Below are 21,569 nucleotides of genomic sequence, written 5' to 3'. Positions count from 1 at the left end.
CGTCAGGCTCTGGAGTTTTAATCCATTGCTTTTTGCCCTGTATTTTACACTTAGAATTTTGTTAATGGGTCTTGGTTATCCCAGTGACATTGTTGTTGAGGTGCATCCAGTGCTCAGGCAGGTCACAGCAACAATGGCGTGTGTGCGTGCATGCGTGTGTGTGTGTGATGTTCCCCAGCCCCATGAACAGCACAGTGGAATATCATCTCAGCCACTGATTGTCAGCTCAGTGCTGGCCTCTAGAAGCTAAGCCTTATGGAATCCTGCATGTGGATCCTCTTAGATGATTTCTCTTACCTGAGTACCCCTGGTGGACCTGGCTTAGCAATGGTTTGTATGATAGCTCAGAAAACAAGCATTAAGTCCATCAGCACATTATACAAATTCAATAGGCAGAGAGTCACTTGCTACTCTCAAAGGATCGGCTTCTGAAATGCAGAAGGTGGAAGTTCTCATGTGACCCCATCCTTGCTCTGTAGAATGCCACCCAGAGGATGTTTGAAATTGACTATAGCCGGGACTCCTTCCTCAAGGATGGCCAGCCATTTCGCTACATCTCAGGAAGCATTCACTACTCCCGTGTGCCCCGCTTCTACTGGAAGGACCGGCTGCTGAAGATGAAGATGGCTGGGCTGAACGCCATCCAGACGTAAGTAGGAGGGCATGTGGCTCTCACCTAGGCCTGAACACCCACTCTGGAGAGAAGATACAACTGTATTTCTCAGGGTGGCTATTTTATTGCTCAGAAATGGGAAATGGTCCAGTGTGATGTTCTGGGAGGGGCTTGTCATGAGCCGGACTGGCCCTTTTTCAAATAATTAACTACTTCTTCCAATCTTCAATTTTAATCATCAGAAATCATTAAATAAATAGCTTAAAAAGGAAAAGGATGGGGGAAGCAAACAGAAGTAACAATGATTGAGCACTTACCAGATACAGGGCACTTTATACTAATGATTCCATTTCCTCGAGATAGGTATTATTGTTCCTGTTTATAGCTGGTGAAACTGAAATTTGCCCAAGGCCATATCTTTGGTCAGAGGTTCAGCTAGTATTTGAAGGGAAGGGAAGGCATGCAGGCAGCTGTAGCACAGGTATGGCTGTAGTCATACAAAAAGCTAGGTTAACAGGAGAAAAGCATAACAGATATGTAAGTTTTATCTGACATGAGAGTCTTCAGAAAAGAAGACCCAAGGAAAACTTTTTACACTTAGATTCCATGAAAGGTTCTGACCTAATGGTGGTGGACTGAAGTGGGAAACCCTCAAGGCCTGCCTCAACAGATTCTTCTTGGCCTTTCTGGGTGGCATTCCTTCCTTCTGGGTATGGAGCAGGACCCCTCTGCAATGAGGGTCTAGAAGGGAGAAGGGAGAGGTGACCTTTCTAGGTTTTCTGGCTTGCTTTGGGAGAGAGGGGTTCTAATTTCTATGACCCACACTGGGGGAAGATGAATTCTGGTTTGACTTGCTTCAGGGGAGAAGGAGGGGTGGGCAACAGAAGAGCAGGAGAAGGCCAGAGAAAGAAGATTTGCTTCTAAGGCCTTCCGATCTCCTTTAGTTCAAAGTACTTAGCATGCCAAGGTGCCATACTTTGGGGTATTGTTTTCTGAGCCCCAATAACAGAATAAGCCTTGTGCTTAGGTAGATTTCTGAAACCCAGTTTGGCTTTGTGGTTCTGCTGCGGTAATTGTATAACTTCAGGGTGTAGAATTATCCCAATAGCTATCTCTCTGCATCTCTTTTGCTATTGCAAAGTAACTAACTAACAGGCAAGAAAGTTGGTGTGGCTGGCTGCTCTGGCTCTTGCAGTGCTGATGTGGATTGCTGATAACTTCTCAAAGATGAAGAGTGAGAAAACCCAGAGGCAGATTCCGAAGATAGATACTTAGGGAGAATGCGCTCATTATTCTGGTTCTAAGGCCACTGGCAGAGTGAACCCAAGTTCACCTGTTTATAATTCCGACAGTGAGTTCTGGAAGACCAAGACTGTTCCAGGGAACCCTGAAATCATGGGATCACACACACGCAAAATGACACAACCCAGGGTCTTCAAAGAGAGCTTTGTGATGGTAATGGATGGCTCCATATTTAACTTTGTATCCCATGCTGTCTGTAGGTAGACAGAGGAGCTGGTAGAAGGTTTTGTCATTTTACCTCCTGCCACATGATTCCTGACAAAATCTTTTGTCAGAGGATCTAGGGCTTGGAGTTTTTCCTACACGTACTAAAAATTATTTCTTCAAAAAATAAATATGTCTCTTACTACTTTTCAGCAAAATATTCTTATTTTTCCTAAGCCTCACATGGACATATATAATTTTTATTTTTATTTATTAAAACAATTTTTTAGAGCTGGGGTCTTGCTCTGTCACCTGGCTGGAATGTAGTGGCTCAATCATAGTTCACTGAAACCTTAAAGTGGGCTCAGGTGATCCTCCCACCTCAGCCTCCTGAGTAGTTGGGATTACAGGCACTGCTACCACACCAGCTAATTTTTTTGTTTTGCTTTGTTTTTAGAGATGAGGTCTCACTATGTTTCCCATGGTGGTCTTCAACTCCTGGACTCAAGCGATCCTACTGCTTTGGCCTCCCAGAGTGCAGGGATTACAGAAGAGAGCTACTGTGCCCAGCTATAATTTTTATGTAATAGGAATTAGTGCTGATATAACTCTGGAGTTTTCTGTTGTTGTTGTTGATTTTAAGAAGTGTCCCCATGAAGTCTGACTAGCTTGGGGAGCTGCTGTAAAAATTCATAACAAGGCCCCTCCCAAGAGGCTGCCAAGCGGGAAGGTCTATGTGTCCTGTGGTTTATGGTTCTACACCATATCTTTCTCTATAGACAGTTTAGAAATTTATGTAGGATACTGGATTTTTGAGCTCTTTCCCCTTCCACAGAGCACCTCAATTCAATTATTTATGCAAAATATAATTACAAAAAGCTAAAAACCTGACTTACAAACAAGTATATAATGGACATATGTCAGAAATTTATTTAACTGGATAAAGAAAATGTGGTACATATACACCATGGAATACTACAAAAATCACAAAAAAGAATGAGATCATGTCCTTTACAGCAAACTGGATGCAGCTGGAGGCTATTATCCTGAGCAAACACAGGGACAGAAAACCAAATACCACATGTTCTCACTTATAAGTGGTAGCTAAACATCGAGTACATATGGACACAAAGAAGGGAACAACAGACAATGGGGCCTACTTGAGGGTGGAGGGTGGGAGGAGGGTGAGTTCCCCTATCGTGTACTAGGCAGATTATCTGGGTGACTAAATAATCTGTACACCAAACCCCCATGACACGCAATTTACCTGTATAACAAACCTGCACATGTACCCCTGAACCTAAAATAAAAGTTTTTAAAAATTTATTTAACTTATTACTGAGGAAACTAGCTAGATGGTAAAGCTAATTCAAAGGAGAATTTGAGGAAGGGAGGTTTACGGTCAGTCAAGAAAGTCATGTTCAAATAAAGTTATCTTTAGAGATAAAACTGGTTAGTATCATAAAGGGCAATGAATGAAAAAGCAACCTTTAGAGTTGTCTTCTCTGTATGACAATCATTTGTTTCTCTCTCAGGCAATAATCTACAAATTAATCTGTAACTTCAAAGTTCTTCCCTTAATCAATAGTAAATAGTAAGTCAAACAAAATATCTCCCCTGGAGAATGAAGGAAGCCTCAGTGGGCCCATTGGACAGTCCTCCATTATAACATGGAAAGGAAATGCAGTCACCCTTTTGCCTTATATCCAAATTCTGGATAATTTTTCTTTTCTTTTCTTTCTTTATTTTGACACAGGGTCTCACTCTGTCATCCAGTTTGGAGTGCAGTGGCACAATCACAGCTCACTGCAGCTTCAACCTCCCTAGCTTAAGCAAACCTCCACCTCAAGCCTCCAGGGTAACTGGGACCACAGGCATACACCCTGGCTAATTTTTTTGTGTTTTTTGTAGAGACGGGGTTTCACCATGTTTTCCAGGCTGGTGTCAAACTCCTGGGCTCAAGCCATCCACCCACCGTGACTTCCCAGAGTGCTGGGATTAGAGGCCTGAGCCACTGTGCCCAGCCTTGGATAATTTTTCTTTCAAAGCGCCTTCTCCCTCTTATCCATGTGTTAGCAATAGTCCTAATGAGGCCCTTTCCCCACGCTTCTTTCTTCTTGACTCTGCCAAGTATCCAGGAAGGGGCTGTGTGTGTCTTGGCAGGTATGTGCCCTGGAACTTTCATGAGCCCTGGCCAGGACAGTACCAGTTTTCTGAGGACCATGATGTGGAATATTTTCTTCGGCTGGCTCATGAGCTGGGACTGCTGGTTATCCTGAGGCCCGGGCCCTACATCTGTGCAGAGTGGGAAATGGTGAGTGTGGCTAGACTGGGCTCTACCTGGTGTGTGTGAGCTGGCAGGCAGCAGCTCTGGGGCAAAGGGAATTAAAGCAGACCTGCATTCCAGAGAGCATGGGGCCTGGGACTGTACCCAGCACAGGTGTCTTTTACCTTGACAAGGTGCCCAGGCAGAGAAACAGGCCAGGGTCAGGGCATGGGCTCTCCTCTTGGTGGTCACTCACATACCTCAGCTTGCTCATCTGTAAGAAGCAGTTAATGGTGTCTTCTCTATCTACGTCACAGGGTATTTGTGAAATTAAATTGAAAAATCTTTATGAAAAGGGCTTTGGTCCTTAAAACATTGCATTCATGCAGAGTGATCTTAATTGTCCTACATTCCAATTTCTAATTTCTCTGCAAGTTATAAACCAAAAAGCCCAGCTCAAATACCCCTTGTCCCTTGAAGCTTTTATTCTTTTCCATAACTACTAATAGTAATTTCTATCTCCTCTGAGCACCCTTCACGGAACAGACATTATAATGGCTTGTTTTCCCTGAACTAGGGAGGATTACCTGCTTGGCTGCTAGAGAAAGAGTCTATTCTTCTCCGCTCCTCCGACCCAGGTAGGTTGTTACAGATGTCTTGAGAAGATTTATAAAAGCTTCAGCCTAGGTGCGGTGGCTCACGCCTGTAATCCTGACACTTTGGGAGGCTGAGGCGGGTGGATTACCTGAGGTTGGGAGTTCGAGACCAGGCTGGCCAAAATGGCAAAACCTCGCCCCTACTAAAAATACAAAAAATTAGCTGGGCATGGTGGTGGGCGCCTGTAATCCCAGCTACTCAGGAGGCTGAGGCAGAAGGATTGCTTGAACCCTGGAGGCGGAAGTTGCAGTGAACCGAGATCGTATCAATGCACTATAGCCTGGGTGACAAAGCGTGACTCTGTCTCAAAACAAACAAACAAACAAAAAAGCTTCAACAATTTATATCAAAAGGGGGAGGTATTTTGAAGGCTGGGGTACCTCTGCACAAATACTTTTGAAAGTTTAGTGAAAGTCTGAGTGTTTATCACTGACCAGTGCATAGCAACAAACTAAACCTCTAGGAAATTAGGCTTTGAACTACGTAACCAGATCTTACTGATAAACTGGTAATTCTTTGAATTGGTATTGAACCCTGTTTGCGGTTGACCAACTGACTTCAGTGCTTTCTCTTCCTATTTACTTAGCATATTCCACAGCCAATGATAGCACCTCGCTAATCAAAATGACAAGTCAGGCATGGTGACTCACACTTGTAATCTCAGCACTTTGGGAGGCCAAAGTGGAGGGATTGCTTGAGCCCAGGAGTTTGATACCAGCCTAGGTAACATAGCGAGACCCTATCTCTATAAAAATTAGCCAGGTGTGCTGGCACATGCCTGTAGTCCGGGAGGCTGAGGTGGGAGGATTGCTTGAGCCTGGGAGGTTGAGACTGCAGTGAGCCATGATTGTACCACTGCACTCCATCCTGGGCAACAGAGAGGGACTTTGTCTCAAAAAAAGAAATAAGGTCGGGCGTAGTGGCTCATGCCTGTAATCCCAGCACTTTGGGAGGCCGAGGTGGGTGGATCACCTGAGGTCAGGAGTTCGAGACCAGCCTGACCAACATGAGGAAACCCTGTCTCTACTAAAAAATACAAAATTAGCTGGGTGTGGTGGTGCATGCCTGTAATCCCAGCTACTCGGGAGGCTGAGGCAGGAGAATTGCTTGAAGCTGGGAGGCAGAGGTTGCAGTGAGCCCAGATTGCGCCATTGCATTCCTGCCTGGGCAACAAGAGCGAAACTCTGTCTCAAAAAAAAAAAAAAAAAGAAATAAAAACAAAATGACAGTTTCTGGGATGGTGTCATTGGATTGCTTGGTAGCTGCAATGCCTTCTATATTCTGGCCACTTTTATAGAGCAATGTGTAAATGATAGTTTTTTTCTTTGTCTTACTCCAGTACCTTCATGTTTTGCACGCTTAGCATATTATTGGTGTTTTCACTGTGGTAACTCATTTAATCTTTATGCCAACTTTATGTGGCATGTACATTTATTATTCCTATTTGACAATATAAATATAGAATTTATTAGAACTTCATTTTATACGGAAAAAAAGCCTTCCTGTGACTGAGAAGAGGATACACTGTTCAGTCACTCTTTTCTTCATTCAGCAAACATTGCTTGGATATGTTCTATGCTCCAGGCTTTGTGTCCTGTGGCAAGGATGGTCTTAGTCTGTTTTCTGTTGCTTGTAACAGAATACCTGAAACTGAGTAATTTATAAAGAAAAGCATTTATTTCCTACAGTTATGGAGGCCAAGAAGTTCAAGGTGGAGGGGCTATATCTGGTGAGGGCCTTCTTGCTGGTGGGGACTCTGCAGAGTCCTGAGGGGGCACAGGGCATCACATGGTGAGGGGGCTGAGTGTCCTAGCTCAGATCTCTCTCCCTCTTCTTATAAAGCCACCAGTCCCATTCCCATGATGACCCATGAATCCATTAACCTATTAATCTATTAATCCATGAGTGGATTGATCTACTTATGAGGGCTGAGCCCTCATGACTCAACACCTCTTAAAGGCCCCACCTCTCAATACTACCACATTGGGGATTCGATTTCAACATGAGTTTCAGAGGGACAAACATTCCAACCATAGCAGATGGATACAGGCACACTGGTCCTCGTCCCCTGAGGAGCTCAGCTGAGGAGACAACTACATGCAGGACAACTTTTATGAGACTTTTACTTCAGAAGGTACTTGTCGAGTCCTGTATATCCTGATCTCTGCTGCCAGCCCTGGTGTAATAAGGCTGCACTGGTGTCTCTTTGTACTAAATCATAATTTTTTTTTTTTTTTTTTTTGAGACAGAGTTTCACTCTTGTTGCCCAGGCTGGAGTGCAATGGTGCGATCTTGGCTCACCGCAACCTCCGCCCCCCCGGGTTCAAGCAATTCTCCTGCCTCAGCCTCCCAAGTAGCTGGGATTACAGGCATGCGCCACCAAGCCTGGCTAATTTTGCATTTTTAGTAGAGATGGGGTTTCTCCATGTTGGTCAGGCTGGTCTCGAACTCCCGACATCTGGTGATCTGCCTGCCTCAGCCTCCCAAAGTGCTGGGATTACAGGCGTGAGCCACCGCACCCAGCCAGAAAACTCAGAATGTTTTTAAAAAGTTTACGAATTTGTGTTGGGCCACATTCAAAGCCATCCTGGGCTGCATGTGGCTTACAGGCTGGGGTTGGACAAGCTTGTGTTAAACTTTTCTTGTTTTCCAGATTACCTGGCAGCTGTGGACAAGTGGTTGGGAGTCCTTCTGCCCAAGATGAAGCCTCTCCTCTATCAGAATGGAGGGCCAGTTATAACAGTGCAGGTAACCCTGGAGTTGAGCATGGATGGATTGGGGGAGGGGTTCCCATCCATCTACATTACATAAATGATAGAAGTGATGCAGACATGAGCCTCATAGGTCTGTTTCTTTAAGAGGTAATGCCACAGATAGTGCTTTTAGTTCAATTGCATTTGGGAAGGCATTGCCATTTTTGAATGCCTGCTATGTGGCAGGCTTTGTGCTGGGTGCCTTGTAAATGCTATTCAATTCTTCCAACCACCTTCTTTTTTCAGTGAGGAAGTTTGAAAAGGTTAAGTGACTTGGCTAAGGTCACCCAGCCAGCAGGTGGCAGAATTAGGATAGCACCCTAATTCTGTGGATCCCAGAGTTTGTCTCTCTGTTTCTCCTGCAATATTGTTTTCTGGCAGCAGGCATGCAGCGTGGACTGAAACACTTTGGTATCGGCACTGCCTTGACAGTCAGATAACCCTGGAATGGAAAAGGATATGGTCAATTGGGGCTGGCTGTTATGTTTCCTCTCTTACTTCCTGCCCCATTCTCCTTCTTCTATGTGTTCTTGGCTCTGCAAGGACTAATATACTGTGGGGTACATTGAACTTTAACAGTTTTTGGTGTTGGTAAAATTACTTAGGTGAAACATAAAACCATGTTCATTGGACATTGACCAAGGATGCCATGGATGCTCTTTTTTTTTTTTTTTTTTTTTTGAGAGAGAGTCTCATTCCGTTGCCCAGGCTGGAGTGCAGTGGGGCAATCTCGGCTTACTGCAACCTCTGCCTTCTGAGTTCAGGCAATTCTCCCACCTCAGCCTCCCATGTAGCTGGGATTACAGGCGCATGCCACCATGCCTGGCTAATTTTTGTATTTTTAGTAGAGACGGGGTTTCGCCATGTTGGCCAGGCTGGTCTCAAACTCCTGACCTCAGGTGATCTGCCCGCCTTGGCCTTCCAAAGTGCTGGGATTACAGGCGTGAGCCACCGTGCCCGGCTATGACCAAGGATGCTCTTATGGAAAAGAGTAAAGGTTTTTTGTTTTTTTTTTTAGGAGACAGAGTCTCGCTCTGTCGCCCAGGCTGGAATGCAGTGGCACAATCTCGGCTCACTGCAACCTCTGCCTCCCAGGTTCAGGCGACCCTCCTGTGTCAGCCTCCCAAGTAGCTGGCATTACAGGCGTGCACCACGATGCCTGGCTATGTTTTTGTATTTTTAGTAGAGACAGGGTTTCACCATGTTGACCAGGCTGGTCTCAAACTCCTGACCTCAGGTGATTCACCCACCTCAGCCTCCCAAAGTGCTGGGATTACAGGCGTGAGCCACCGTGCCCAGCTATGACCAGGGATGCTTTTATGGAAAAGAGTAAAGTTATGTAAAAGTGGCTGCATCCTGGACATCCCAGGGATGCAAAGTGGCACTCCCTAGGGGAGTGTGGGCCAGGCTTCCTTCTTATGAACAGTACTATGGGCAGCTTGTGGGGATGGATCATAGTAGGGTGGGAGCATGGGCACTGCTTTGCCTTTCAGGTGTCGGTGGACAGAGGTGCTGAGAGGGCTGCACTGGCCAGGGTGTCCGTTCTGAGGCTTTGTGGTGGGAGGAGATGTCTTCTTGAGAGAGGCCAGGTTGCTGCTCACAGAGGGATGTGTGAGTCACCCCACGTGCCCCTAGTTTTTACCATCTTGTGTCTGTACTGGTTAAGCTAATAGGAACCACATTTTCCTACATGAAGATATCAAGTCTGAAACTTGGGTGCGTCTTTGCTCTGCATGGCTGTGTCTTCTTCCTTTCTTCTGGCCTCAGGTGCAAACCCTCTTTTGATGCCCTCTTTTTTTCAGTCTCTGCCTCTCCTTGAATCACTTTCAATTTCTGCTCACAACTTTTCTGCCCCTTTTGGTTTTGGAAATGCCACAAAAAGTATAATCAAGTATTAATTCTGCAAAGGAGAATGAAGTTGACTGTGTGGAGATATTTCTTCTTGTGTCCATCCCTAGCAACCTCAGATGACTTTAACTTGACCCTGGGTCCTGCCAGGTGACTCTGTCCCCCTCCTCCTCCTCCTCTCCCCTTCCCATCTCCACATGCTTGAATCCCACTAATCATTTTTGCCCCTTGTTTACAAAATAAACAAGTATAGACATAAGAAAGCAGAAAAAACATAATTGTTACTCAAACCTCAGGAGCCATAGCAAAGCTCTTCACATTTTGGGAGTTTCCTTGAATATTTTTTATGCCTTTTTTTTCTGCTTTCTTACAGAGTAAGTTCATTCTGTGTGACCTATTTTCTGTGTGGCTTTTTTTGCTTCATTCTTTGTCATGAGCACTTTTTCATATCGTTCAAAATTCTTTCATCATCTTTCATGGTTGTCCTACTTACCTTCTGACGCACAGTTCCTATACGTGTTCCTTCTGTCTGGAAGCCATCCCAGTTGACATATTGGCTTCCGTAGGACTTTCAGAACCGTCACTGTCGCCTCCTTTTGTGAAGCACATGTGGGAGCAGTTTCATCCCTGACACACTGTGTCTCTAGTCTCCTGGCCTTCCACGCCTCTGCCTGGTAGCCATGAGGGCACATCATGCATTTGTGCACATCACATACCCACCGAACGGCTCTGGAATGGAATAGAAGCTGATTGCTTTGATAAGAAGGAACCGGGGGATTTGTAGACAGTAATTCTTTTCGTTGTTGTTATTGTTTTTGTTTTTTGAGACAGAGTCTCTCTCTGTCACCAGGCTGAGTGCAGTGATGAGATCTCGGCTCACTGCAACCTCCACCTCCTGGGTTCAAGTGATCCTCCTGCCTCAGCCTCCTGAATAGCTGGGACTACAGGTGCGGGCAACCACGCCAGCTAATTTTGTGTATTTTTAGTGGAGATGAGGTTTCACCATGTTGGTCAGGATGGTCTCAATCTCTTGACCTCATGATCCGCCCACCTCAGCTTCCCAAAGTGCTGGGATGAAAGCCATGAGCCACTGTGCCAGGCCTGTAAACAGTATTTCTGTGTGTGAAGATTTCTGTAAAAGGGCCAAGGCTGATGGCTCAATGCCCGTAATCCCAGCACTTTGGGAGGCCGAGGCAGGAGGATCTCTTGAGCCCAGGAGTTCAAGACCAGCCTGGGCAACATAGTGAAACTCCATCTCTACAAAAAATTTAAAAATTAGCTGAGTATGCTGCCATGCACCCGTGTTCCCAGCCATTCAGGGGGCAGAGGCAGGAGGATCACTTGAGCCTGGGAGGTTGGGGCTGTGGTGAGCCGTGATCACACCACTCACTGCACTCCAGCCTGGGCAAAAAAGTGAGACTCTGTCTCAAAAAAAATAAAGATTTCTGTAAAAGCTGATTTCTGTCTCTGTCTTAATTCATGTTGAAGGGTAGAAAATGGTGGCTTTCCTCAATTCTTGATGCTGGTTTTCTCTCTCAGTGCTCAGAGTTTGAGATGGCCAGGGAGGAGCTACGTGTTTGCAGCCAGGGTAAAAATGAGTCAGACCAGAAGGCTTAAATCCCTGTCTGAGAACATTTAGGGCCCTCAACACTGTTGTGTTACAGATACAGGAAACCAGGTCTGTGCTTTTATTCATCGTCATGATTCAGTCAGATATGCAGATGTTTCTCTTTTGGGGGGATTAGCTGAGCCAGTGCCACCTATGATGGTTTGCATATGTGGATGTTTATCTCAGTTTCTACCTGAAAAAGCTAAAGCCATTGATAATATCCAAGGTGAAAATAATTAGGAGTGGACGACCTTCCACCCACAACTTAACTTCATCCAATTAACAGGGCATTCATCATGAGGTAATAAGCCTATTTATGACTGTTTGGAAGATCAACATCTTTAAAAGTCTCTGGTGCTTAAGGAGCTTACAGAATGGAGACAGTTACTCTAAAACAAAGACCTGCAAATTATGGCTGCCACCTACATTTTTTTGTAAGTAAAAGTATATTGGAATCGCCACACCGTTTATATATCATCTGTGGCCGCTTTTGTACTATAGTGGCAGAGTTGAGTAGTTGAGATGGAGACCTCTATGGCTGCAACACCTAAAATATTTACTCTCTGGTGGTTTTTTGTTTGTTTGTTTGTTTGTTTGTTTTCTCTGTCACCCAGGCTGGAATCCAGTGGCGCAATCTCTGCTCATGGCAACCTCTGCCTCCCGGGTTCAAGCAATTCTCGCACCTGAGCCTCTCAAATAGCTGGGATTACAGGCACCTGCCATCATGCCTGGCTAATTTTTTTTGTATTTTTAGTAGAGATGGGGTTTCACCATGTTGGCCAGGCTGGTTTCAAACTCCTGACCTCAAGTGATCCACCCGCCTCAGCCTCCCAAAGTACTAGGATTACAGGCGTGAGCCACCACGCCCAGCCTGGTGTTTTATTCAAAAAGTTTGTTGACTCCTGCTCTAGAAACATCGGTGTTCCTCTGAACCTAGCCATGACTTTTTCTATGGGTTTTTCAAGCCTTTTCATTTGTGTGTCTCACCTACCCCCAGCCTTCACCCACCTTTTTTTTTCCTAATTGGTAGTAACATAGAACTTGAGTAGAGTCTTAGCTGCTAACATTTTGAGCACTTACTAGATGCCAGATCTGTGCAAGGTTCTAGTCATGTATTGACTCAGTTAATCCTCATGATAACCCATCGAGTTAGGTACACTTTACAGGTGGAGTCCCATGGGTAGGAAGTGGCAGAGCTCAGATTTACATGTAGACAGTTGGGCCCCTGCCAGCCGTGCCTGTGACTAGAACTCTAAGCTGCCTCGCAATTGTGCTTTTCTCGCTCTCTCAAAACCTAACCAAATTATGTGTACGCATTTTTTACAAGCCTGTTTATTTTAGAGTATATGATACAATGATGATAATGGATAAATAAGACCTGGAAAAGCAAGATGATAAGAAAACCAAGGTTGGGTTTGGGCATGGGGGTGAGCTCAAGAGAACATGAGGTACAGAGGCTGTGAGACCATTTAGTTGCTGGAGCTAACTTTTAAGATCTTTAGCTCTGAATTTCTTGACAGCCAGATGATAAAAAGGAGACACAGTCATGTAAGTAGCACTTATAAAGGAGGAGAAAAGAACTTTGCCAGTATTTACAAAGCTTTTCTTAGCATTTATCTAAATTATTGCAAAAGGAACTTTCATGGAACTCATCAATGGGAGTTTTCTACTCTTGTAAGCAGCAAATACTTCCTCTTCCAGGATGGTTTCATGACCAGTGAAGTCTCTGTCCTGGGCATGCGTGCTACAGTCTGTTTTACTTCTTGAACCCCAAATCTGAAAGTATTGCCAGAGGGATCCTCTCTGAGAGAAGGATCATTCATGAAACCTTGTGGGAGGCAGGACTGTGCAGATAACGACGGCAGCATTTAATTCATTTTTGTCACTCACCATTCTTCTCCCACTCTCCAACTCTGCACGTGGATGAAATTGAGCTGTTGGTGATGTCAAATATGTAGGAATATCCTCTACCCATTCCCTTCCCAAGTTCAGAGCCTTTTCTTCTAGAGCTACCTCGGGCTGTCCCTCCAAGGAACCTTCCCTAACAATCTCTCCCAGGCACTCAGGCTAAGCACCTCTTTTCTGGGACTCACAGTTTCTTGTGCTTACGTTTAAAGATCATGTATTCCCAGGATCACAAATATTTTTGTATTATGTGCATGTTAAAATGTTATGGTTGGGTATTTTTTAATTTTTTATAAATGAAATATAGCATACATACGTAAATGCGCAGTATGATGAATCACTATGGTGTGAACACCCACATAAACACCAACCAAGGTCAGGAGACAGCACGTGGCCAGTGCCCTAGAAGCTTCCCAGGTGTCCTTGTTGATCATACACCATTTCGTCCCACTGTCCTGACGCTTATGACCATCAGTTTTCTGCTTTTCTTTATACTTTTACCACCTATGTGTGTACTCAGACTTTATAGTTTGGTTTTGATTGTTTTGAATTTTCTCTAAAGGGGATTGTACTGTATGTATTTTTCAGTGTCATGCTTCTTTCACTTCACATTATATTCCTGATTCTTTGGTGTATTGGGTAGAGCTGAAGTTCATTTGTTTTATTGCTTCAGAGCAATGTTTCTTAACCTGATTTTTTCATCATTGCCCCCAAGGATCCCTTTTAAACTTTTTTTCTAATTGCCTTCTCCTCTCCACCATGAAATTTTATTACCTGAGATATTGTATATTGGTTTATTTGCTCTGTGTGTGTGTGTGTGTGTGTGTGTGTGTGTGTGTGTGTGTGTGTGTATGTTTTATATAAATAAGGAATAATTTTTTTTATCCCCAAAGCATCAATTTTTACCCCCTTGGGGATGCTACCCACCTCACTGGGAATGCATGCTTCAGAGCAGGGACCCCACCCTCAGCACTATTGCCATGTTGCACCTGATAATTCTTCATTGTGGGGCTTCCCTGTGCACTGTGGGATGTCTGGCAGCATCCCTGGGCCTCTACCCACTGGATGCCATGAGCATGTCTGCCGAGGTATGACAACCTCAAACATTTCCAGACATAGCCACATGTCCCCTGTGGGGCTAAAGAGCTCCTGGTTGAGAACCACCGATGTTATTGAGCACAAACTGAACACCGGTGTGTGTGTGACAGCAGGTCAAATAAACATGCTGTGTCTGTCCCTGGCATTCACCCTTCTTCTTATTGCCATGGAGATTTTGCATAGTATATTAAGGGAAAACACAATTACAATTGGTGCATATAATATGCCAGTTTTGAGGGAAGAAAACACTGCTGTATATTATTTGCGTATATTTGGGGAGTGTGTGGGTCTGTGTAAATCTAGACGGCTGTATACTAAAATGCTTGCAGTGATTATCTCTGGGCAATGGAATTAATGGATACTTTTCCTGTTTTCTTTTCATTTTTCTAGCATTTCTACCATGGGAAGGTATTATTTATGTGATGTTTAAAGTATCTACTTTCTATTCTAGGGAAGAATACCACTACAATCTGAACACCAGTTTGGTGTTTTTTGTTTTTCTTATTTCTCAGTGGTGGGAGAGGGTTAATAGGAGGTAAACTTTTATGGTGAATTGTTGGTGTTTTTTCTTTTAGTCAGTTTTGAGGTCTGAGTGAAGGAAATTTTTCCAGCAGTCATTAAGCCTTGTCATCTTAGCAGATGCTCAGATATTTTCCCACACAAAAGCTTGCATTAGGGTGGCTACATTAGGATCTCCTCATTTTTCCCTGCTCTTTTTTCACTCACAGGTTGAAAATGAATATGGCAGCTACTTTGCCTGTGATTTTGACTACCTGCGCTTCCTGCAGAAGCGCTTTCGCCACCATCTGGGGGATGATGTGGTTCTGTTTACCACTGATGGAGCACATAAAACATTCCTGAAATGTGGGGCCCTGCAGGGCCTCTACACCACGGTGGACTTTGGAACAGGTTGGTGTTTGTAGTAACAGAAATTGCAGCTTAAAATCAGCTTTTTACTCAGTCAGTTGCTCTGGGCAGCTGTTGTTATAAGTGTCATGGGCAGATTGAGATTTTTCATGTTTTCATTTTTCAAGGAACAGGTAGAATAGAATACTTGCACCCCTCAGTAACAGAGGGTTATCTGTAGGCCAAGAGCTTCCAGGGTAGCTGCATTTTCAGCACTGGTGGAGCTAGCCTGGAAAATGGAGTACTGCTATCTCAGGGGCTAGGCTGGCCCACCCAAGATGAAGAAGCAGGTAGGCATCTCCAGCTGTGAGAAGCTCTACCTTGAGGCAGTCACCTTTTAGGCTGTGTCTGGGGCGCGCTTCTCTGCTCTTTCTGCCCTCCCTGTCCTCCCACCTTGGCAGGACACTCGGGGTTATGCCTTGGCTGTAGCCAACCTTGAGGTCAGCCACTGGCTGGGAACTTACCTTATGCTTTGTTGTCTTTCTGCATAACTTAGAACACTGAACTGTCAGGGCTGGAGGTGGTTTGGCAGATGCTACAAAGGCTATGCCAGATTCCTTACACAGTGCTGTGTAAACTGTGGAGATGCTGCAAGTGAAGGTTACAGATGGGTGGGCAATGTGGTTAGGATGCTTCTGGCCATAAGTAATATTAAGAGAGACTTCATTTAGGAGAGTGGCTTTCATAAAGGATATGACAGCTGTATTCGTCCATTCTTGCACTGCCCTAAATAAATACCAGAGACTGGGTAATTTACAAAGAAAAGAGGTTTAATGGACTCACAGGCTGTATAGGAAGCCTGGTGGCAACAGCTTCTGGGGAGGCCTTAGGAAACTTAAAATCATGGCAGAAGGCAAAGGGAAAGCAGGCACGTCTTACATGGACAGAGCGGGAGGAAGAGATAGGAAGGGAAGTGCTACATACTTTTAAACAACCAGATCTCATAACTCATTCACTCACTATCAGGAGAATAGCACTGAGGGGATGGTGCTAACCCATTCACAAGCACTTTGCCCCCACGATCCAGTCGCCTGCCACCAGGCCCTACCTCCAACACTGGGGATTATAGTTCGACATGAGATTTGGTGGGGACACAGATCTAACACAGATCCAAACCATATCAACAGCTAAATGTCTGACTGGACTTTTTTTGTGTGTGTGGCTATGAAAGACATTATTGAGAAATTGCAATCTTTGAATAAAGTCTGTAGATTAGATAAGAGTACTGTATCAGTATAATTTCCTGATTTTTAGAAGTATATTGTGTTTATTTAAAGAATGCCTTTGTTCTGAGAGAATGAACACTGATGTATTTAGGGATAAAGGGCCATCACATCTGCAATTTATTCTCAGGTGGCTCAGAAAAATGTATATTTTTATAGAGAAACTGATAGTGTATATCTAGTAAAATGCTAACAATTGGGAAATCTAGGTGAAGGGAATAGGAGAGTTTTTTTGTACTATTCTTACAACATTCTGTAAGTTTGAAATCACTGCAGAATAAAAAGTTACAGGCTAGGCATGGTGGCAAGTGCCTGTAGTCCTAGCTACTAGGGAGGATGAGGTGGGAAGATCACTTGAGCCCACGAGTTCAAGGCTGCGGTGAGCTGTGATTGTGCCACTGCACCCCAAGCTGGGCAACAGAGCAAGACCCTGTCTCAAAAAAAAAAAAAGATACACACACACAAAAAAGACCAGTTCCTTGAGTAGCATAAAGACCCTGATGTTCTCCCCTCTGAGGTAAAAGGCACTTCATGTGCATTGCACAGCCAATGTTTGCCTCTCTTAAGAGGGATGTACAGAAGACTGAAATGAGGAAATTAGCCTGGTGTTGCTTTTTTTTTTTTTTTTTTTTTTTTTTTTTGAGGTGGAGTTTCGCTCTTGTTGCCCAGGCTGGAGTGCAACGACCCGATCCTGGCTTACTGCAACCTCTGCCTCCTGGGTTCAAGCATTCTCCTACCTCAGCCTCCCAAGTAGCTGGGATTACAGGCACCTGCCACCACGCCTGGCTAATTTTTGTATTTTTAGTAGAGACAGGGTTTCACCATGTTGGCCCGGCTGGTTTCAAACTCCTAACCTCACATGATCTGCCTGCCTCGGCCTCCCAAAGTGTTGGGATTACAGGCGTGAGCCACCGCGCCCGGTCTGTAGTCACATTTTTTAAGAGGTTCTTCTACCTTATCAAAAAAGAGAAGAACAGAAAAGAACTGACCTTAAGTGAATGGAGTGTTTCGAGAGCATTTGGTGATAAAAGGACTCATCCGTTAGGTTGGTTAGGTTGGTGCAAAAGTGATTGCAGTTTTTGCCTTTTAAAAAAAAAAAACGGGCCCAGCGCAGTGCCTCCTACCTGTAATCCCAGCAGTTTGGGAGGCCAAGGCAGGCGGATCATGAGTTCAGGAGTTTGAGACCAGCCTGGCCAACATGGTGAAACCCCATCTCCACTAAAGATACAAAAATTAGCTGGTACAAAAATCGTGGTGGCGCACTTTTGTAATCCCAGCTACTTAGGAGGCTGAGGCAGGAGAATTGCTTGAACCCGGGAGCCAGAGGTTGCAGTGAGCTGAGATTGCGCCACTACACTCCAGCCTGGGCAACAGAGCGAAACTCCATCTCAAAAAAAAAAAAAAAAAAGAAAAGAAAACCATGACAAAAACCACAATTACTTTTGCACCAACCTAATACAAAGCGCTGCAGAGGAAGTGACATGCCGGTTTCCTCCTGCTTTGGCCAGGCTTCTCATCACAGCGATGAAAAAGCACGGCATTTTTCTGTTGGGAGGAACAAATTGAAGGTGATTATGATTGTGTTTTAAGCATAATTTGTATGTGAGGTGACAGCGTGACTGTCACTGCTAGGGGTTGGAGAATAGACAACCACAAGGCCAGGGTGCCTGGGGCAGATGGGCCCTCCAGTCTGAGGCTTTTGCCAGCTTCATTGCTTTGTGTGGGAGAGGGGCATTGCCCGATGGGTCTCATGAGAACAGTGTTTAAAGAGCTGAATGCCACCTAATGCTTAATAGTGAGAAAGACAGCCAATGAGATTCTGCTCTTTCTCAATCAGCATATTCTGTCCTGAAAGCTGGCCTTACAGAGAAGCCAAAGGCCCATCTCAGAGCAAGTGGTTATCAGAGGGTCTTGGCTGGGGCCACGTCCACCCTGGGATACCTGCTGTGGGAACTGGGTTGTGAAGTGTGGGGCCAGGGCATTCTCTGCTCGGGTTGGTGTGGACACTGCTCATGCTTCCTCTTTCCCCAGTGTTTGGCAGCCCATTCCTTCTCTGTGGAGAAATTCTTTTTTGTTTTAGAGGAGGAAGGGAAAATAGAAGACACGAGAGGCAAGACAAGACACCCCTAATGGGACATTTCATGAGGAAAACTTGAGAGCAAGTGGTTTGGAATGGCTGATGTACAAATTAGAATCCAGAGTATATTCCATTATTCAGGGGTAAACACAATTAGAGCCCCCACATCCCTTTGATTTCTTAATTAACTGGCAAATATTTGTGGTAGTATCATGTGTATGGTGTTATTGAGGCTGTAAGTATCTTCAAACCAGGCTCATCCTGTGGGGTGCATCCAGGTCAACCAGATGTTCTTGTGAAGAGATAAGCCCACAAGATATGTGTCCAGGCCCTGGGGAAACACAGATAAAGAAGACAGGCCTGTGAAGGGAACTCTTGTGCAGACAGGAAAGGCCACGGGGACCTCCTCAGAGAGGAAGCAATGTTCTCTGGTCCACACACATCTTCAAATGGGTCCAATCAGAAGCTAGCTTGGAAGTATTCCAGGCCCATGGGGTGTGGGAAGGGAAAGGGGCCTGTCTTAGTCAGTGTGGGCTGCTATAACAAAATATCTTAGACTGGGTAATTTATAAACAAAAGAAATTTATTGCTCACAGTTCTAGAGGTGGTGAAGTCCAAAATTAAGATGCCAGCAGATTCAGTGTCTGGCAAGGGCTTGCTCTCTGCTTCAAAAATGGTGCCGTGCCTTCTTGCTGTGCCCTCACATGGTCAGGAAGCTCCGTTGAGCCTCTTTTTATTTATTTATTATTATTATTTTTTTTAATAAAAAAAATATTTTTGAGATGGAGTGTCACTCTGTTGCCCAGGCTGGAGTGCAGTGGCACGATCTCGGCTCACTGCAACCTCCACCTCCCGGGTTCAAGCAATTCTCCTGCCTCAGCCTCCTGAGTAGCTGGGATTACAAGTGTGTGCCACCATGCCTGGCTAATTTTTGTATTTTTAGTAGAGATGGGGTTTCACCATGTTGGCCAGGTGGTCTCCACCATGCCAGGCTGGAGTCTGTTTTTATAGGGGCACTAATCCCATTCATGAAGGTGGAGCCCTTATGACTTAATCACTTCCAGTGGCCTCACCTGTTAATACTATCATCTTGGGTGTTAAGTTCCAACATGAGAATTTTGGGGGGATACTAACATTCTGACCGTAGCAGGGCTTCAGGCCCGAGTCCCATGAAGGGCTCTTGTTATTTAACTTCTTGTCATTTCCACGACTGACCTACCTTCTCCCTCTTACAATTTTCAGGCAGCAACATCACAGATGCTTTCCTAAGCCAGAGGAAGTGTGAGCCCAAAGGACCCTTGGTAAGAATCGAGGGTGAGGTGTGTGTTTGCAGCTGTTAAGAGAGAAAAGTTACATGCTGCTGAAACTGGGCAGTAGGCCCTTGATGTTTTTGGCTCTGGAGTCAGCAGCTAATGGGATTGTGGAGTCATAGCCATTCTGGACATGTGAATGACAGCAGAAACAATGTTTCTATTTGAAATTGAGCTCCTGCACTGGGGTGGAACAGACTGGGGACCAACATGAATGGCCTGTTACACATCAGGTTCTGTGCTCCTGCATCCTGGTCTCATCTGGTCCTCAGGGCAACTCTCATAAGTGGTCTTATTGTCTCCATTTTTATTGAGGCTCAGGGAACCTATGTCACTTGCCAGGGTCATATAGCCAGTGTGTGGCTAAGCCGGGATGGTTGGCAAGCTGCAGGTGGGTGTCAACAATCTATCAATCCTTCTCTCTCCGTTCTTCCCGTCTTTGGCTGAAGTTGCTATTCTTGTTGTCACTCAGCCCAGTTTAAGGGGTTAATATCCTGCGCCTTCTCTGCACTAGGTCAGACTGCCCCACCTGTGTACAAGCCTGATTTATAAAACAGCCTTTTCTGAGTCTAGTCTCTGCTTAGTGAGCAGTGCAGACCCTGCATTCATAGACTTTGGGTGGAGCTATTTCCTGGAACCTAAAACAAGAAGTCCCCACAAGAAGGTCCAGACTTCTTTTTTGTTCTCTAGACCAAGGCTTGGCAGGGCAATGCCCAAGAAAAACATGAAGTGTTTGAGGCCTGCTTTGCAGAATACTGGGACAAGCCTTCCTCGTTATAAATCAACCTGAGATCTGAAAATCTGGATTCATACAAAGGTTGAATTTGGAGCTGTTATTTATTTATTTATTTTTAAATGGAGTCTCACTATGTTGCCAGACTGTAGTACAGTGGCGCGATCTCAGCTCACTGCATTCTCCACCTCCCGGGTTCAAGCGATTCTCCTGCCTCAGGCTCCTGATAGCTGGGACTACAGGGGCGCACCACGATGCCCAGCTAATGTTTGTATTTTTAGTTGAGATGGGGTTTCACCATGTTGGCCAGGAGGGTCTCAATCTCTAGACCTTGTGATCCGCCCACCTCGGCCTCCCAAAGTACTGAGATTACAGGCATGAGCCACTGCGCCCGGCCTGGAGCTGTTATTCTATAAAAATATTTTGCTACCCAGTTTCTTTGCCCAACAAGACTTTCCTACTGTGTTTAAACAGGGGATCAGCTATCTAAATTTTAATATAGGCACCACTTTTCAGGAATACTTGCATTGTATAAGATGAGATCTACTTTAGGTTAGAACCTGAGGACTGAACATAGGCATTGCTGGTATTGGAAGTGCTCACTGGGGGGCGTCTCTGGGTTAAGCAGTGCATGTCAGCATGTCAACCCCCTTTACACCTGTCATAGATGGGGCATTGCAGGGAAGCCCTGGCATTGGAAGGTCATAAGTCTATCCTAAGGGCTACGTTCTTTTTTTGTTTTAGATCAATTCTGAATTCTATACTGGCTGGCTAGATCACTGGGGCCAACCTCACTCCACAATCAAGACCGAAGCAGTGGCTTCCTCCCTCTATGATATACTTGCCCGTGGGGCGAGTGTGAACTTGTGAGTGTTCATTGCCTGAGGGGAGGGTGCCCTCAGTAGCCATGGGCTCACAGTGAAGTACCGTGTTCTTTTGTTTCCTTGTAGGTACATGTTTATAGGTGGGACCAATTTTGCCTATTGGAATGGTAAGAGCACTTTAATATCTGTAGAAACTTATGCTAGAATGTTTCTGTTGATTAATTTGAGGAGGGGTGTGCCCACAGACAATTTTATTTTCCTTTTTTTGTTTATCCTCTCCTAAATTTTCTTTTTTTTTCTT

At 44.9% G+C, this 21,569-nt stretch overlaps 1 protein-coding gene across 5 annotated transcripts in view, besides 4 other annotated features; it reads left to right on the top strand.

Annotated features, from left to right (window-relative positions):
• GLB1 (galactosidase beta 1) overlaps window positions 1-21,569 on the top strand; it is a 136,039-nt gene that overhangs the window by 23,954 nt on the left and 90,516 nt on the right. For 4 of the 5 annotated variants that reach the window (NM_001393580.1, NM_000404.4, NM_001317040.2 and 1 more), the window contains 8 exons: window positions 480-649; window positions 4,223-4,373; window positions 4,903-4,963; window positions 7,636-7,730; window positions 14,924-15,104; window positions 19,644-19,702; window positions 21,189-21,310; window positions 21,395-21,435. In NM_001393580.1, coding sequence (NP_001380509.1) covers window positions 480-649; window positions 4,223-4,373; window positions 4,903-4,963; window positions 7,636-7,730; window positions 14,924-15,104; window positions 19,644-19,702; window positions 21,189-21,310; window positions 21,395-21,435 — 880 coding nt within the window. The remainder of the gene's footprint in view (window positions 1-479; window positions 650-4,222; window positions 4,374-4,902; window positions 4,964-7,635; window positions 7,731-14,923; window positions 15,105-19,643; window positions 19,703-21,188; window positions 21,311-21,394; window positions 21,436-21,569) is intronic. The other variant, NM_001135602.3, reaches the window with a different exon arrangement.
• Window positions 11,258-11,307: an enhancer, noted in NCBI's record as "active region_19644". NCBI's record gives its function as "activates an Ori minimal core promoter by ATAC-STARR-seq in GM12878 lymphoblastoid cells {active_cell/tissue: GM12878}" and the evidence as "EXISTENCE:reporter gene assay evidence [ECO:0000049][PMID:35858748]".
• Window positions 15,399-15,478: an enhancer, noted in NCBI's record as "active region_19643". NCBI's record gives its function as "activates an Ori minimal core promoter by ATAC-STARR-seq in GM12878 lymphoblastoid cells {active_cell/tissue: GM12878}" and the evidence as "EXISTENCE:reporter gene assay evidence [ECO:0000049][PMID:35858748]".
• Window positions 15,629-15,678: an enhancer, noted in NCBI's record as "active region_19642". NCBI's record gives its function as "activates an Ori minimal core promoter by ATAC-STARR-seq in GM12878 lymphoblastoid cells {active_cell/tissue: GM12878}" and the evidence as "EXISTENCE:reporter gene assay evidence [ECO:0000049][PMID:35858748]".
• Window positions 17,842-17,921: an enhancer, noted in NCBI's record as "active region_19641". NCBI's record gives its function as "activates an Ori minimal core promoter by ATAC-STARR-seq in GM12878 lymphoblastoid cells {active_cell/tissue: GM12878}" and the evidence as "EXISTENCE:reporter gene assay evidence [ECO:0000049][PMID:35858748]".

Source organism: Homo sapiens, chromosome 3 (genome assembly GCF_000001405.40).
Source record: "Homo sapiens chromosome 3, GRCh38.p14 Primary Assembly".
Classification (NCBI taxonomy): domain Eukaryota; kingdom Metazoa; phylum Chordata; class Mammalia; order Primates; family Hominidae; genus Homo; species Homo sapiens.
The sequence above is the reverse complement of the archived record's forward strand: the minus strand, read 5'-3'. Positions and strand labels throughout refer to the sequence as shown.